We start from the raw sequence: 19120 nt of genomic DNA on the forward strand, positions 1-19120 counted from the left end.
TCTAATCCCAGTTCTGCCTTTAACTAGCTGTATGAACTTGAACGAATCATTTCCTTCTCTGGGGCTCAGTTTCTATATTTGGAACAAGTTGAATAATCTTTAATTCTTTCTAGTTCTCAGTCTCCACACTTTACCATGCTCCCTATTCCCCGCCACATGTACACACATTCTCCCATCAGGTGGGCTCCCAGCACCCAACGCAGGCTCTGATCTGTTCCTTTTCTGGGACTTATCCAAATGATCAGATTTTATCAAACATCCTGGGATGGCCAAGGGCCAAAGAAAACATTTTCAGATGCTTAGAATTACCAAATCACAGCATTTCTGCTATGAAAGTTGCCTTAGAGCACAATGAGCTGAATCCTCCATGTTAAAGACGAGCAAACTAGAAAAAGAGAAGTTCAGTGACTTCCTTGAGGTCACACAGCAAGTCAGCAGGTTGATTTGGCCCCTGTTTGGGGACCCATCCAATCTGAGGCCAGGCATTGTCCTGAATCTTGAGAAAGTTCATAAGGATCCTAGCTAAGAGCAAGCCAGAGAAGATGCTGGCCACCTGGGTGCTCTGAAAGCCTGAAGGGTCCTGGTGGGATGGGGGCTGCACACAGCTGGAAGTGGCTGAGGAACACTTGCTGGGGGTCCAAGCCTGTACAATGTGACTTGAGGAAGTCTTGGCCCCTGTCTGGGCCTCTGGTCTCAGCTGTATAAAGAGGTGGATTGTACAATCACTGGTCCTCAAGCCAGGCTAAGCAGCACAATACTTGGAAAGCTGACGACAACAACAACAAAATGCAGTCTAGATGCCACAGCCCTAAAGATTTCAATTCCATTGGTCTAAGTAGGCTTCCATATCTGTACTTGTATAAAAAGCCTCATTGGTGGTTTGAATCTATAGCCAGGTACAGTGAGTTGAATGGTTACCCTCCTCCGGAAAAAAAAAAAAAAGTACCATGTCCTAATCCCCAGAACCTGTGACTATTACCTTATATGGAAAAAGGATCTTTGCAGATGTGAAGGATCTTGATATGAAGAAGATCATCCCAAATTATCTGGTGGGCTCTAAATCCAGTGCCAATGTCCTTATAAATGTAAGGCAGAATGAGATTTAGCACAGAGAGGGAGGAGAAGGAGGCACTGTGATCAGAGAGGCAGAGATTGGAGCAATTTGGCCACAAATCGAAGAATGTCTACAGCTCCGGAGCTGGAAGAGGCAAAAAATGGATTGTCCCCTACAGCCTCCAGAGGGAGGGCAGCACTGCCAACACCTTGATTCTGGACTTCTTGTCTCCAGAAATGTAAAACAATAAATTTCTGTTGTTTTCAGTCACTCAGTCACGTGCCCTGGGCTTTATGAATCAGATATGCCCAGGGAAGAGTGTAGTTTAGAAGTGGACCAGGAGGAAGGGGGCTGCCCAGAACCCACCTTTTGGCCCAAGCAGCCCTGGAGACCTGCAGCTTTGTGGGTGTCAGAGCCTGAGGTTCTGGTGCTGCTGAGAGCTCAGCATCATTCGTGAAAGCCGTAGAGTCTATGCCAAGGTGGGGTCTTCAAAGGTGTGATCTCACTGCGTGGTTTGGGCACTTTTTCTGGCTGGCTACCTTTAAGCTGGACTCTTTGGCTATCCTGGAGATTCCTTTGAAAGGAAAGGGAATTCTAAATGTAAACGCCACCTCACAGACACTTGTTAAGTGTCTCTTCTCCTCCTCCCTCCTGCCTCTCTCCTCTGCCACGTCTGTCAAACTCCTCAGGGCAGTGCATCATTCTAAGCATTGTGGGACCCGTGAACAGGGATATATTGGATCTAAGTTCCCACAAAATGGCACTGATTGTTTGAAGATGCTTAGAGTCCCTGCTCCTCTGTGGGAAGGGGTGAGACTCTCCAGGATTGCTGAAGGCTGCCAAGGTAGAGTCAGGGAAGGTGCAGATATTCCTTCAGCTCCTCTCCTCTCACCTGCCCTGTTCTAGAGTTTAAATTTCAGTAAGAATAAGTAGGGGAATTTTCACTGGCTCATGTGTGAACTTGAATGTAAAAATCGACTGCAGGCTGGGCACGGAGGCTCACGCCTGTAATCCCAGCACTTTGGGAGGCTGAGGCAGGTGGATCACTTGAAGTCAGGAGTTCGAGACCAGCCTGGCCAACATGGTGAAACCCCATCTCTACTAAAAATGCAAAAATTAGCCAGGCATAGTGGCAGGCGCCTGTAGTCCCAGCTACTTGGGAGGCTGAGGCAGGAGAATTGCTTGAACCGGAAGGCGGAGTTTGCAGTGAGCCGAGCCAAGATGGCGCCACTGTACTCCAGCCTGGGCGACAGAGAGACTCCGTCTCAAAAAAAAAAAAAGAAAAAAAAAAAAAACAGATTGCATTTATTTCCAAGCTGACTGCCCTGTTGTTTCCCTAGACACCTCTTTGGAAAGGTTTGTGCTTTGCAGCAAGCTCACTTGTTCTGAAGGACCTTCAATGCAATGGCAAAGTGGTTATGGATAATCCAAAAACAAATGAGCAAAAAGGGTAGGAGGAGAAACAAAGAGCAGCATTAGCAAAGGAGAGGTGAAAGACATCTGGTGTTAGTCCTCCTTACCCAAACTCCACAAACGGCCATTGTCTGTACAAGTCATCTGGCCATGAACCCCTGACCAGTGGGGGTAGTGTGGGGGGGTGGCAGTGGTGGTGGTAGAGGGAGCAGGGACTCAGACAGACCTGAGTTCAGGGACCAACTCTGGCTTCTGCATCAGATATGAAATCCAGGCCATTTAGGCAGATTCTCCTTCCTCTCTGAGCCTCGATTTTAAAATTTCTTATATTTTATGTATACCCAGTCTGCCTTGTATTGTTATTATTTGCAGTCATTGTGTTCTAAAAAGCCTCCGGGAACACTGCACTGGCAGATACTGAACCACTGCTCAAAGGGGAAATAACAGGGTTAGGTTCCAGTGAGCCTCTGGTTACAATTCTGTCAATAATAAAACCTAATAATGTGTGCGTTTCTGTTTAAAGACATCTTATTTAATATTATTGCTGATTCATTGACATTGAACTCACCTGTTTAAAGATAGCTTATTTAATATTACTGCTGATTCATCGACACTGAACTCATGGCCAGCAGCACTGTAACTGACGCCTGAACGAAGCGTTTCTACCACAGCTGTTTTCTCTGTAAGGAGCATCACAGCCTCCCTGGGCTTACTTCAGTGCTATGCTGGGGGACCATTTGAAACAGTGAAATACCAAACAAAAAAGCACAAAAATGTGAAAAATGTGGTACCGAGTAGACCACAAAAGGACACTTGTTTATAGTGTGAGAGCTGAAACAAGGAGGCAGAGTGTCGCCTTGTTTGACCTCAGCTGGGAATGTGCACATTGGGTGGCTGCAATTTTTTGCCATTCTGCTCACAGCAAAAGTGCTGCATGTATTGATTTGGGGGTTAAAAATTAATCTTAATGAGTAGGCAGATTTGCAAATATAGAAATTATGATTAATGTAAACTGTATATAAATATAAATATATATTCAGTTGACTTTTGAACAACACAGATTTGAACTGTGCGGGAAACTTAAACAGATTTTCTTCCACCTCTGTTACCTCTGAGACAGCAAGATCAATCCTTTCTCTTCCTCCTCCTCCTCAGCCTATGCAATGTAAAGATGATGAGGACGAAGACCTTCATAATGATCCACTTCCACTTACTGAATAGTAAATAGCTGTTCTCTTCCTTATGATTTCCTTAGTGAAGTCTTTTTACTCCATGTTACTTTATTGTAAGAATCAGCACATAATACATACAACACATAAAATATGTGTTAATTGAGCATTTATATTATGGGTAAGGCTTCCAGTCAACAGTGGGCTATTAGCAATTAAGTTTTGGGGTTCAAAAGTGGGGATTTTCGGCTGCGTGGGGTGTCAGCACCACCAAGCCCCACATTGTTCAAGGGTCAACTGTATCGCTACTTACCTCACATAGTTTTTGTCAGGACCAAATGCATAGGGAGAAGACATCTTCTACCAGAAGGCACTGTAGAAGTGAGTGTAATGGTTATGTAACATACCAGCCTGGTGGATCCCTTCTCAGCTCAAGAGTCACCCCCACCAGAAAGTCTTGCACCAAAGGCCAGGACCTAACTGTAAATACAAGCTATAACCAGATTCTGAGTTGCCTAGATGGGGAGGAAGGAGAAGAAGGTCAAGAGGAAAACTTGTTTGCTGCATTCAACTTCTCAGATCATTTAGGAGCCTAGTTGCAAGGGCTCAATTCAATTTGTTGCTTGGCAACGTCAGGATTTGCATCCAGGATCTTTGATGCAAGAGTTAGCAGCCTTAATCCCTAGAATATATGACTATTAATTTAATCACATAATCATTGAAATAAAAACACATCACTTAAAAATTCTTGGAGAGAACTCATGAACCCCTGAGAATACATGTATGCACTTCCCCCCATCAATCTACTTGGAGAAACATCACTTTACTAGAGTCCCTCTAAAGATTGCTAAAGTCGTAAACTCCTTTTCCTGCTCCTTTTTTTTTTTTTCTTTTTGAGATGGAGTCTCACTTTGTTGCCCAGGCTGGAGTGCAATGGCGTGATCTCGGTTCACTGCAACCTCTGCCTCCCAGGTTCAAGTGATTCTCTCACTTCAGCCTCCCGAGTAGCTGGGATTATAGGCACCCGCCATCATGCCTGGCTAATTTTTGTATTTTTAGTTGAGGCGGGGTTTCACCATGTTGGCCAGGGTGGTCTTGAACTCCTGACCTCTGGCAATCCACCTGGCTTGGCCTCCCAAAGTGCTGAGATTACAGGCATGAGCCACTGCTCCTGGCCTCCCTGCTCCCTTTACACCCTCACCCTAGAAGAAGATAGTGACATAGCATCTGCAAAATGACACAAGATGGCAGCTGCATGGGATGAAGACTTCTTGTTGCAGGATGGTTTGAGTTGGGAATGAGCTGGCTCCAGGAGGATGAGGATGGAGACATGGACCAGGAGCCGGCCAAGCATCAACAGAGAACAGCAAAGAGGCTCCCGAGGTGGAGATGCTCCTTGCTGGCCTCACCCCAGCCCCATTTCCCCTCCGCTGCCTGTGAGTTTATGAACAGATGGGTTCTCTGTGCAAAGGCAGTAGTTCTTACAATGAGTAACCTGAGGAATTCATTCATTCCACAAACATTCAGCAAACATCCACTGTATTCCAGGATTTGTACAAATGCCTGGCCATACCAAAATTAGTATTAGAGGACAGTCACATCTTATTTACTTTAGAAGAGACAGTTGGACCCAGGGGTTGCAAATGCGTATTCTGGAGCCTGGCTGGCTGACCACCTGGATTAAAGTCCCTGTGTTATTTGGGCAAGTTGTTTAACCTTTTTGTGCCTCAGTTTTCTCATGGAGCAAATCCTAGTACTTACCCATGGAATTGATATGGCATTAAATGAAATGGGTTAATGCATGTAAAGGTTTCTACCAGTACCTGCCATGTAATAAGCACACATTAAATATTAGCTGTTATTAACTTAAGTGGGCCAATCCTATTCATGTGACAGGGAGGAGAGACTGGGAAAGAGAGAGAGAGAAGAGAGGTATATCATTTTGAGAGCATGTAAGATGGGATTTTGAAGAATCATATTGATTATGTATGGTTTCTACCTTGTGAACTTACTTCCGAAATTAACTCCTACATAGAGCAATCCCACGGTATTACTATTACTAGTAGTGGCAAATATTTATTGTGTCATGTATATACCAGGCCACAGTGCTAAGTGCTTTACATATATTATTTGCTTTAATTCACACAATAATCAGTACCAATATTATTTACATTTTCAGATGAGGAAATTGAAGTATAGAGCAGTGAAACAACTTGTCCTAAGTTGCAACTGACACATGGCTGGGTGGAAAGCTGAGCTCAGGTTTTATTAGTATAAGTGCTGTGTCTCACCCAGTAAGCTATACTGTCCTTGGGAATTCACAGCTTGGTGGGGCAGCTGGCCATTTTAAACAAATAATTGCAACAATTTAGAAAAGCGCTAGAAGAGGTGACATTGTAATTAAGCTTTTTACAACCTGTCCTCTCCCCTTCCCTCTCTTGTTGGTGCCTAGATGGCAGGAACCAGATCTTACCCATCTTGGTTGGCCTTGCACAGGCAAGGTGTTCGGTAAATATTTGCTGGTTTGGTTTGATTCAAGTGAGATAGAGCAGCTCTTTCAGATGGTGCTAGGTATCTGAGCTAATGATTTCTCTAGTGTGGATTACAAGCCCTAAGGGGATGTTATTATTTCTGAAGTTGGCGCCAGAAATGACAGTCTCTGTTTCAGGAGGTAATCCTCAAAATAGGAATGATGTACAATGCAGGCAAGTTTCCTAAATGTAGGCTCCTTTAGTTTCTGGGTCATTTACAACTGGCTACCTTGGACTCTTGTATATTCCAAAAAGTTCCTGGCTGTTCTGTCTCTCTTAGTAATAAATTGAAAGTCCAAAATAAGAAGGCAGATTGTGTTTTTGCAATGAAAACCCCACGGGCTACATTTCATATGTAATAGCTTACTCTTTGCCAATCTGACCTTCTCCTCCAATCCCCAAGCTCATCCCACCTCTGCTTGGACACACCCAAGAGATCACCACCATTCATCCATCTTTGGGAAGTTCTATGCCTCAGGAAGGGTCCTCTGACTAAGTGAAAGCTGCTTTGCTAGAGCTTCTTCCACCCATCCTGCCTCCCCAACCCAGGCCCATGCAAGCATCCTTCATCTTCCTTTGCCTCAAAACAGCTCTTTAGAGAAGAAATATTCACCTCTACCCCATATCCATAGTTCCTTTAACCATTAACTAGAGAGTGTTATTTCCACCCCTTTGGCAACCTGGATATAAGTGACGCTCAGAACACAGTACTCTAGACATGGTTTAAATAGCTCAGTAAACTTGGACATCTGAACATTGCACTTTAAAACGGCATTCTTATTTCTATAGCCACAGCCCACCTTTGATGGATCTTGAATGTACAGTGAACTGGATCCCATAGTTCTTTCTCTTTCTATTGCTATCAAAAAAGATCACCAGTGCCCCACAACAAATAAGCATCAGTCTCAGGACTCTGAGAACCAGTGGGAAACTGCCACGAACAGGGAGAGGAGAGTTCAAAAGCACAGAGGTGATTCTCTCCTCCTTGCACAAGACCTGGGATAGACAAGCTGGATTCACATCATGAGGCCAGGCCACAGGAGAACACGCAGATGTAAGCAGCCCCAGAGAAAGGACACTGGCTCAGGATTAGGAGATCTGAGTTTTGCTATGGATTGAATTGTGTCTCCTTCCACCCACTGCCCTGCCCAAATCCATAAGTTGATGCCCTAACCCCCAGTGTGACTATATTTGGAAATAGGGCCCTAAGGAGGTAATTAAAGTTAAATGAGCTCATAAGTTGGGCCTCTAACACCATATGATTAGTGTCCTTTTAACAAGAGGCATCAGAGAGCTCACAAGATCTTTCACTCCCCATCATGCGAGGTCACAGTGAGAAGGTGGCTGTCCACAAGCCAGGAAGAGAGTCCTCATCAAAAACCAACTCTGCTAGACCCTGATCTGGGACTTCTGGTCTCCGGAACTGTGAAAAAATAGATTTCGGCGTTTAAACCAGTTTTTGGTATTGTGTTACAGCAGCCCGAGTAGAAAAATTCTGGTTTGAAGCACATAAATCCACTTCTTGTGAAATAGAGATACCAACACCTGCTCTGCTCACAGGAAGAGACGTGCGGGGACATATACTGGGTGACCTCCAGTCCCACCTCATTAGGTCATATGGACAAGAAACAGCAGTCTGACGTCAGAAAGCAATGACAAACTACATACATTTTTACAGAGGTCTCTTTTATATGGACACAACCTATGTATCTTCCCACAGTTGCCCACACTTTCATATCTACACCATTTCTCTCATCTGGAAATTCTCTTTTTTCCCCTTCTCTCTTCCACAACTTGTAAACCAAATTCCTTGAAGGGGAGGAGGGCCAGCAGAAGAAAACCAAACTCTTGGTTTCTGATCTGCTTTCTGGTGCTCCCCTTTAGTGGCCACATTGACTCCATTCTTCCAAGAGCTCCTTCAAAAGTTCTCAAAGGCATCTCAAATATATGTTCTGGTGGGGAAAGACTGTGTCTATAAAGCAGTGTTTACACAACTGAGCAAGTTAGCTCTTCTACCCCTCCTACCCCTCCATTCACACTGCAGGAGCCTGCAAACAAAAGTCTGGTTCAAATCCCATCTCAGTCACTTGCTACCCAAGTGACCCTGGGCAAGTCATGTTACCTCTCAGAACCTCAGTTTTACCATCTGCAAAATGGGATGATATCCCTGTCAAGGCTTTGAAAAGATTAACTTTGGAAAGATAATGAATATAAGGTATCTAGTAAGTGCCAGGAAACAATATACTCCTTCCATAGCAAGTTACATGCAGTCGACATCATGCTGGGGCCCAGAGGATGTGCTCCACGACTTAGACTGATTTGTTTCTTGGAAAAATTCCTGAGTAGACGGAGAGACAAGACAAGCACAACAATGTCTCTAATAGAAAGTAGAGCGTGCTGACTGGATAGCACGGGACTGTGAGAGATACTATGCTAGGCAAAGCCCAGAAAGCTGCCTGGAAAGGTGAAGTTTGAAAGGGTCCTTACTGGATGGTCAGAGTTGGCCATAAAGGGAAACAGAAGAAAGAAGCATGGTGCATGTCTAGGGAAAGAGAGTCGCCATACAGAACGAGCAGGAGACAATGCTGGAAAGGGGATGGACAGTCGGCATTCATCTGTTAAAGACTGACCTTCTGGTTCCAGAGTTGGAGCTACAAATACAAACAGGTCCTCTAAATGGACTTTTACACAGATTCACAAGGCCTGAACAAAACACTGTCCAGAAAGTTTTAACACTGCCTCTCATTTCCCTAAGACCAAATAGGAAGAAAGTGGATTCCTAGGCAAGGGGTGTCAGTGTTTCCCAGCCTTTAAGCAGGTTTGGGGCCAATGACTCCAGTGGAAAGTGGAGACAGTCTGACTATATCTAATCCCTGAGGAAAGGGGGCCCTCTGCATTGTCTCCCAGCCCAGGTGGCCTTCCGGTCAGCAGGAGCAATAGTAGCAGGACCAGGTGTCATTGCCGCAGGCTGTTCAGGAGCAGCGGTCACTGGCTGTTTTATGTGACCAGCTGAGCATAGACCTACCTTTTATTGACAGTCATCTCTCATTGAGGCCTGGACTCTCTGGGCTATAGTGACCACCAATTCTTTAGGAATGTATAGCTAGAAGCCTGCCATATCTTTAATGTCTCACACATAGCACTGGCTTCTAAACATAAACAACTAAGGACTTCTGCGTTTATATTTAAAGCCTATCTGCTTCAAGTACTTTGGGATAGTGTTATCTGCTTATGGACTTTGGGTACCAAAAAAGGATTTTCCCTGGGACTCATACCAAGATCTATGAGTGCCAGCTTCAAGCAGCTGAAAGGTCTTTCTGTAGGTTCAGGAGGTGTGTGAGATGTGGGTGGGAAATCTAAGGCCCAGAATGAGGAAGAGAGTAGTGGCAGAAAGACCACTGGGGAGATGGTGGGGTATATCATAATTGCCCAGAGGAAAGTCTAGAGGGGCTAGGTTAGGCTGGGGGCAGAGGAAAGGAGAGATTCAAGAAATGCAATCAAGGATAGACCACGACTCTCCGAGTGTGAGGTGGGTTTCAGCCACCAGGGAAGTTCTTAGGGAGGAGGTGGGGCACCTCTTCCATGGCAGTAAGATGAGGGAGTTCCCTTCCTGTTGATTCTATTTGCTCTGTAAGATAGGAGAGGTCATTCACTGTGTGTTAGATGCTGGGGTGAAGATGGGGAGAAAGGAATGGATGATGTCTGGGAACCCCAGATGAAATGCCTGGGGTGCAGGAATGGAGAATGAAGGCATGGGAGGAGCACGCATTAGGAACTCTTGCAGGAGCAGCTCTCCCTGTTCACACCCTCCACTTCCCTAAGTCTCCTGTAGGAGAAAAGTGCTAAGTACACATTGCTAACCAGACCATAGGGAAAGAGCCTGGGTTGCTCTGGGATCTCAGAAGGCATAAGTGGTTTAAGTCATCACTGCCCCCTGAAAACTGCAAGGTCCACAGCAGGAGGTTGTTGGAAATGATAGATGCGAAATGCTCAGCCAAGGAGCGGCCATGTGTTCGATGTCAATTCAGTTTCTTTTCTTTTCTTTTCTTTTTTTTAGGCATATCCATCTTTAGAATGTTCGAACTGGAAAAGATCATGTAGTCCATGGCACACATTTTGCCACAGGGAAAAGAGGCACATCCATGATAGAACAATGGGTGCTCCAACAGAATGAGCAGGGTCATATGGGAACACTTGCGAAAGACACTTAATCCCAGCCTGGGGACCCTGGGGACCTCCCCAGGGAGGCTTCAAACTCAGATGGCAGGAGCCTGTTCCTGCTGTTAGTCAGTTCCAAGGGCTGTCACCACAGGCAGGGGCAGCCCTCGTGGATGGGGTATGCTGCATCAGCTTCAGCCATGGCCCATGCAGCCTGCCTCACTCACAGCATGCCTGTGTCCCCTGCCCTCCTCCAACCCCCAGGCTCTGGCTCCCTGCTGGGCTTCTCCCGAACATAGGCACACACCCACACTGGCTTCCAGCCGTGGCCGCCCCTGGGAATGATCTTACAGGGTGGAAAGCTCTTAGGATACTTTCCTGGGACTAGAATTTCATTGTGGAAAATCTCCCCAGGCTCCAACCGCTGACTCATCCCTTGAGCCTTGTCCAGGAAATCAGTTTCCCAGATTGCACAAACTCACATGCAGAAAAGCTATCAATATGTTTGCATTTGTATCCATGTTGATCTCCCTTCCTTATTCCTTGATATAATGAGTTATCTAATTATGGTGACATCTGTTGAGGAGGAATCTAGCTTCCCTCTCCCTGCCCAGAACCCAGCAACCCAGCACAGGGCTCTTTTGGGGGAGATCACATGCTGCAGGGTTTGTGTAGGAGAGGCAGAACCCCAACAGAAATCAGCCGTGTCTGCCTCATGGCTTTTGTTATCCCGAGCTACCAGCCACCCGATATCCCAGGCACTTCCTTCAGCGATGGGCAAACCCACAGACTGTGCCAGTGTTACAGCTTTAGGCTCCTTGCCCTCAGGACTCTACTCTCAGCCCAAGGTGACTGAGAAGGAGTCAAGAGAGAAGAAGGAAGAACATGTGCTGGTTGCTTTGCCTTTATCTGGTAACTACACATATAATTTCTTTTAACCCGGAAATAACTGTTCATCGGGTTACCACCACACAACCTGGAAATTAAAGGACCCACGACACCTCCTCTCTCACCTCACCATTCCCCAAAGCCAGACTTTAAGGCTTAACCAACATTTATTCATTCATTCAACAAATATTTGTTTTGCACTTACTAGACGCTAGTGAGTCTTCAGACAAATAAGCCCAATCTTTGGAGAATTTAACATCCAATAACACAAATGATAGCCACACAGGCAGTTGGAGAAGATGCTGAGTGAGACCTAGAAGACAGGGCCATCTGGTCTAGATCTCCCTCTGCCATTGTCTCAAGGCATCTTTAGAAGCCAAAGTTGGCCAGGTTGGTGACTCATGCCTGCAGTCCCAGCATTTTGGGAGGCCAAGGCAGGTAGATCTCGAGGTCAGGAGATCAAGATGATCCTGGCTAATGGGGTGAAACCCCATCTCTACTTAAAATACAAAACATTCGCTGGGCATGGTGGCACACACCTATATTCCCAGCTACTTGGGAGGCCGAGGCAGGAGAATTGCTTGAACCTGGGAGGCGGAGGCTGCAGTGAGCTGAGATCGTGCCACTGTACTCCAGCCTGGGTGACAGAGTGAGACTCCATCTCAAAAAAAAAAAAAAAAAAAAAAGTCAGAGTCTTCACCCTTTACACTGAGCCCCAAAAAGATTTGCAGCAGCACAGCTCACTCTGCCAAACCACTTATTCAGCAGGGTCAGTGACTCCCAAGTGAATTTGTATTCATTTTGCTGGTGCTTCTCATTGTCCTTTTTCCCAGGGACTTCTGAACAGGCCTGGTCCCTGTTTGCAAGCTTCCTGTGTCTTTGGGGCACATGTGGCTCATGTAGATAGAATAATTTTTCTTCTTGATATGTTAGTACTAATTAAAATGAGGAAACAAAGAATCCACCTCTAACTCAAGCTCTCACTATATTTGATAAGATCTTTCTCTACATCCTAGTACTAGGAGTCCTTTGGAAGCATTTTTCAATTAAAGAAATTCTTCCGCTCATTTTTCTAGGAAATTCCAAATGATGTAGTCACCAAAAAACAAGACTCTTGAGAATCTAGTGATTCCCAATAATAGAACTTTAGGACCATATAGGACGTTTAAGATAATTTAATCAAACTTTCTTATTTTGCCAATGGAAAAATGAAGGCACAGAGTTGGGTTTTGAAAATACATGCTGGCCGAGTGTGGTGGCTCACAACTGTAATCCCAACACTTTGGGAGGCCAAGGCGGGTGGATCATGAGGTCAGGAGTTCAAGACCAGCCTGACCAAGATGGTGAAACCCCATCTCTACTAAAAATACAAAAAAATTAGCCAGACATGGTGGCGGGCACCTGTAATCCCAGCTACTCAGAAGGCTGATGCAGAGAATTGCTTGAACCTGAGAGGCAGAGGTTGCAGTGAGCCGTGATTGTGCCTCTGCACTCCAGCCTGGGCAACAAAATGAGAATCCGTCTTAAAAAAAAAAAAAAGAAAGAAAAAGAAAATACATTCTGTAGGATTTGCCCTGTCTTCCTTCCTTCCTTCCTTCCTTCTTTTCCTCCTTCCTTCCTTCCTTCCTTCCTTCCTTTCCTTTCCTTTCCTTTTTTAAGATAGAGTCTTGCTTGGGTGCAGGGGTGCAATCATGGCTCACTGCAGCCTCCACCTTCTGGGCTCAAGAGATCCTCCCACCCCAGCCTCCCGAGTAGCTGGTACCACAAGCACATGCCACCACCCCTGGTTAATTTTTGTATTTTTTGTAGAGACGGAGTTTCACCATGTTGCCTAGGCTGGTCTCAAACTCTGGGCTCAAGTGATCCATCCACCTCGGTCTCCCAAAGTGCTGGAATTCCAGGCATGGGCCATCATGCCCGGCCTTGTCCCATGTTTCTGACTCAAGTTCTTAGGGTCCTGTCATTATCCACATCATTTGTTTTTCTTTCTAAAAATCAGAGTATCCTTGAATACAAATAATACTTTATTTGCAGCACCATAGTTAAATCCCATTCCAAAGATTACATTCATTCATTAATTTGATCATTTATTTATTAACTTCACAAATACTTATTGAGCACATACTATGTGAATGCATTTTACTACTCACTGGGGAAAATGAAAAATGAATCAGGTACAGTTCTTGCCTTCAAAGGCTCAAATCTATTATAGCAGATAAGATATGGGCACACATAGCATAAACATAGTAGTAACAGTAAAATTGATAATGATGATAATAGCCATTGCTTATATAGAGCTCACTATATTCCAGGAAGTGTTTTAAATATATCACATATTTTAATATATTAAATCCTTACAGTGACCTTACGAGAAAAGTATTATTGTTATCCTCCATTTTGCTAATGAGGAACAGAGGCCCAAGAAGGCTAAGGGACTTGTCAAAGGCCACAGAGCTAGCGAGTGGCAGAGCTGTGATTCAGTTCTAGGCAGCCCAGTGCTAAGATAAAAAGTAATCATTGTAATTAGAGGGGAACATTGCCTAGGCTACTCTCGAACTCCTGGGCTCAAGTGATCCTCCTGGCTTACCTTCCCAAAGAGCTGAGATTACAGGCGTAAGCCACCACCCACACCTGGCCCCAAACTGGCTTTCGAGGCTGTCCACAGTCCAGACTTGCATATCCAACCTACCTCTCCTCAAGGAAAATACTTTCTCTAACTGGGTTCTTCAGAATTCAGGAGCACATCCCACTCTTGGCCAATCCCACACCTTGGCTCACCAAGTCCCAGAAAATGACTCATGCTTTTATCTGTCTCCACCTACTCCCTCCAGCCAGCCCAAGCTAACCTGTCTCCTTACAACTCTTTCAGTCTTGCCACTCATTTAATCCTGCCCTGACCTGTGTGCTTCCCCACACCCAGCATTATGATGGGTCCTCGATCCTGTCTCCTGCAGAACTGCAGCAGCCTCCTTGATTTCCATGGAATGTCTGGAGTGTCATTCCCGGGCCTCTGCAGAGATGATTATTTTATTTCGATGTGTTTTTGTTGGCAGCAGTCTGATGCATCATCACACATCCAACTCAATGTGTGATGTGCATCATACAGTGCTCTTACAAGAGGAGTAAACAGTGAGACGAGCAAGCGGCTGTTATTTGTCTCAAAATGTCTTCATTCTGAGAATTGCAGACTGCAGATAAGAGCTGTCAATCAGCAGTCATGAACATTGTTAAAACTAGCGAAGACTCTTTTCAAACTTCTATAAAGAAGAAAATCCAAACTCCTTAGCCAAGCCCTTATAATCAAGGTCTCCCAAGAGCTTATTCTTTAATCAATTAATTAATTCAATAAATATTTATGGATTGCCTACCATGTGCCAGGCACATTAGTAGTTGCTCCAGAGAGTATTGAACAAAAAAGACAAAATCCTTACTCTCCTGGAGCTGGCATTTTAGGAAGTGGACAGCAAATGCTTAAACTAGGGGTTGGCAGATTATGGCCTATAGGTCAAATCCATCTTGCCACCTACTTTTGTAAATAAAGTTTTATTGGAACACAGCCATGCTCATTTATTTTACTTACTGTCTATGGCTGGTTTTACACCACAATGGTAGAGTTAGTAGTTGTGACGGCAACCGTATGGCCTGCAAAGCCTAAAATATTTACCATCTGGCCCTTTATAAGACAAGTTTGCCAACCTATGGCCCAGAAAAAATAAGCATAAAATATGTCAGGTGACGATTCGTGTCATGAAGAAAAATAAACAGGTGTGGAGATTAAAATGATGAAAGGTGTTTCTAGAGATTTGCACGCCAATAACATGACCATGAATAAAAGAGCCAAATGAAAGAGAGCAAACCACAAGAAACAGTTAACTGAGGAAAATGGGTTCAGGGAGAGAAAACAGCAAATGCAAAGACCACGCCACAAAACCATGCCACTTGGCATGTTTAAAAACATCAAGAAGGGCTGGGCACAGTGGCTCACACCTGTAATCTCAGCACTTTGGGAGGCCAAGGTGGATGGATTGCTTGAGCCTAGGAGTTCAAGACAAGCCTGAGCAATGTGGCAAAACCCTGTCTCTACAAAAATACAAAAAATTAGCCGGGTATGGTGGCACTCACCTGTAGTCCAGCTACTCAGGAGGCTGAGATTGGAGGATTGTTTGAGTCCAGGAGGTTAAGACTGCAATGAGCCATGAATGTGCCACTGCATTCCAGCCTGGGTGACAGAGTGAGACCCTGTTTCGAAAAACAAAACAAAACAAAAATAAACAAACAAAAACATCAAGAAGGTACACAGGGTTGCAGCTGAGTGAGCAAGGGGAGGAGAAACAAAGATGAGATAAGAAAGCTGCCCAAGGGCCAGACCATGGAGGACTTGAAGGCCCAGGTACCGACCTTGGTTTTATGGTGAGTGGGGTGTAAAGCCGTCATAGGTTTGGAGTAGACAATGGTCTGACTATGTGTTTTGAGAGATCTCTTTGACTGTTGTGTAGAGCAAAGGATTCAGGATAAAGAGTGGAAGCAGCATGGCCAGTGAAGAGGCTACTCCAAAAGTCCAGATAAGAGATGCTAGCATCTTGGACAAGGATAATAGCCCTGAGGTGGTGAAAGGTGGTCCAATTCAGGGTACATTTGGGAGGCAGAGCCAGTAGGATTCCCTGATGGATTAGGCATGGAGGCAAAAGGGATCTCAAGGTTTGGGGCCTGAGTCACTTGAAAAATGAAACTGCCATTTATGAGATGGGAAAGGTAGGAGGAGAGGCAGACGGGGAGAGCAAGAGAGTGGACATCAGGATTTCTGCTTTGAAGGCATCAAGTCTGAGTGTTTATTAAGTAGACATGGGCAAGGCAGCGTCATCCACTGCTGCTCTCTTTTGCTTACCTCCTTGTGGCTTGTGAGGGCCTGCTTATTAGGTTCCTGTGGACCCTCCAACTTATTTCCTGCTTCTCTCCTTCTCAGCCCTGCCTCCTGCTATGCAAGCCTTCAGCCTCTTGAACAGGTTACACACCTTTTTGCCTGGTAGCCCTTCCATCCTCCAGGTTGCAACTAAAATACTACCTTCTGACAAGAGATCTTACCAGCCTGCCACCTCCTGTTAATCTCTACTTCAGTCCCCATATCTTACCTACATAGAGTGTTTCTACTTTCAGTTATTTAATTAATTAGTTGACTTGTCTTTTGTCTGCCCTTTCGGCCTCTCCATGCCCCGCAAAGCTGAAAGTCATAGCCAATATGCAGCCTGTGTCTGTCTCATTCTTTACCACATTCCCAGGGCTTAGCATAGTCTTTGCTGCACAACTTTTAACTTTTTCTTTTTCAGCTATAAAACCCTTTCCTGATGTGAAATCTTGTGCAGACCCCAGTATGCTTGTTCATTTATTCATTATGCAGATAAAACAGGTGTGACTCTGGTTGAATTGGGGCTGAGGGGTCCCATATTGTGGCCCCTGTCCTGAGAACTATTACCCGTGTTAAACCGGACACCTCCCCACACTCCAGTTATCAGTGTCAGAATGTCCAAGGCATCATACTTCCCGGGGCAATTAAATATCAAAAGAAAAAAAAATCATATCAACGTAAGATTGGCACCATTTCATTTTGCTAAATAAAGATATTTAAAAACCTCCTAGCTGCTAGCTACTCTATTAGTCAGAGTGTGCTACAGGAAGAAATAACCCTCCGGATCTCTTAGCTTCATACAATGGAAGCTTATTTTTCTCTCCCCCTACATGCCCAGGGAGGTTGGCAGTGTTGTAGTCACTGGGGAATCCAGGCTGACAGCGACTGAGTCTTGACATATATTTCCATGACCTCTGAGGCAGGACAATGGATCAAGGCAGACTGTCCACTGGCTTTCAGACATTCTGCCTGGAAGTGACATGTTCTTTTTACTTTTCTTTCATTTGTGAAGACAAATCACTTGGCCAGACCTCACTTAAACAGGGCCAGGAAGAGTAATCCTCCCACACGCCTGGAAGGTGAGAGAAGAGGAACAGTTAGGAAAATACCCATGGCTCCCATGGTTATGCTTGATGATAACAATCGTTTTATAAAAGGAAAGGCATTTTAATGTTCAAAACAATAAAAAAGAAAACTTCAAGTTGAATGAATTATCTTTATTTAAAACATACTCTTTGTCCTTATTTTTGTCACTTTTACTGTGAACCAGAGAAAAGCTATCACAGGTTGATTCTGGTCCACAGACCAGCATTTGTTAATCAATGCTGAACTACAAGCTACCTGAGTGGCCTCACCTCCTCACCCTCATACTGGTCCCTTTACCTGCAAGATCTTCCTCCCCTCAGTCTCCCTATATCCCAATCTCTCCATCTTTCAAGGAGCAGTCTGAAGTCACCTGCCAGAACCATCCCAAAGCAGGGTATATTCCCTCTGGTATCACTGCCCATGCCTCTTCAAGTCCCTGAGCCCTTCCTGCCTGATCTGTGCATCGTGTCGAGAGATCTGACTACAGATGAACAGAGATGCTGCGGTCTGTCTTCATCTGCACATGTTCATAGAAAAAGCGAAAAGGAGAAGGGCAAAGGTTCCCCCAATTAGAGTTTCCTTATGCTGAAGGAGAGGAGATACTCAGAAGGAACAGATGGCCTAGGCGCTATTTGGAAATCCTCAGAACTACAATTTTCCCCCAGAGGAATGTATTGACTGAGAGGCACAGATGAAGCGAAACTGCGGAGCAAGCCTCGGCACCTGGGAGCCATGGGGCAGCCCGTGGGGTTTGGGCCATTTAGACTTCTTCTCAGGTATTCCTGGGCTCTTATTTTTCAAGGGAGACTTGGAAGACTGCCTTGTTTCTCCTTCCTGGGGCATTTTTTCTCATGACACAAACTTCGGCCACTTCCCTTTCCTTGTAGGAGACCCATTTGAAGTTGGGCAAGGCAGAGCGAGGGGGGAAAGACCTGTGCATTGTCCTCATGCTAGCACAGCTCTGCAATCATGCAGCTGAAGTTACTGGGTCAAAGTAGGGCAGAGATGTGAACAAATCCATGATGTAAACCATCAAGGAGCAAAACATGACAAATATATCCAAATTTTGTCAATTAAAAAACAGATTAGAATAAAGTAAATTTGACTAAATCCATGATATAAAGAATTTTGTTAAATAGACTCAATTTAACCAATGCACATTGACCAAAGCTCAAAGTGATAATAATAATAGCCTAAATTGTCCAGCACTATATAGTTTGTTTGAAATATACTTTTGTATGTACTTTTCCACTTAATCCTCATAATGAGTGTGAAAGCGTGGATTATGATAAAGCTTAGAGAGGTTAGGAGGCTTATCCAAGGTCACACAGCTACCACATCAGTTTGAATGCTTTGGGCAGCAAATGTTGGGAAATAGGCTTAACCAATAAAGAAGATTTATTCTCTAATAATTTATTCTCTAAAAATCAGAATTCTAGGGTAAAGCAGGCATCAAATTTAGTTGACTTAATCATGGGGATCATTAAGAGCCTGTGCTCTTTCCACCTCTCTGCTATCCTCAGGCTGGCTTCGTACTCAGGCTCCTGACAAGACAGCTACAGGAGTGCCAGACTTGTCATCCAGACATAATCATGGCAGGAGGAAAAGAGAGATCATCTCCCGCTGGGTTTCTCTGGATAGTTAGAAAGCCGTTGAGGGGCACTACAATGTTGTACATAATAAATGTATCCCATTTTTAGTTTTCCATTAAAAAATAAAAAAAAATTAATGCAGTGCTAGGTTAAAATTAGTGCAGTGCAATTTAAAAAATCAAAAAATTAATGCAGTGCTGGGTTAAAATTATTGCAGTGCTAGGTTAGATGAAAGTAGATAAAACCTTTTTTGATGTACCAGCAACACTGGAACAGTAGAACACTGGCAAATTTTTTTCAATTTGTTCTGTGAAAATTAATCTAGT

The 19120-nt window shown here is 44.6% G+C and overlaps 1 long non-coding RNA gene across 2 annotated transcripts in view; it reads right to left on the minus strand.

The window, feature by feature from the left end:
• Positions 1-13219: 13219 nt before the first annotated feature.
• Positions 13220-19120, minus strand: part of LOC107987011 (uncharacterized) — a 71633-nt gene continuing 65732 nt past the window's right edge. For both annotated transcript variants that reach the window (XR_001746548.2, XR_007061697.1), the window contains one exon: positions 13220-17188. This is a non-coding gene — a long non-coding RNA (uncharacterized LOC107987011). The remainder of the gene's footprint in view (positions 17189-19120) is intronic.

This window comes from Homo sapiens, chromosome 9, assembly GCF_000001405.40.
Source record: "Homo sapiens chromosome 9, GRCh38.p14 Primary Assembly".
Classification (NCBI taxonomy): Eukaryota; Metazoa; Chordata; class Mammalia; order Primates; family Hominidae; genus Homo; species Homo sapiens.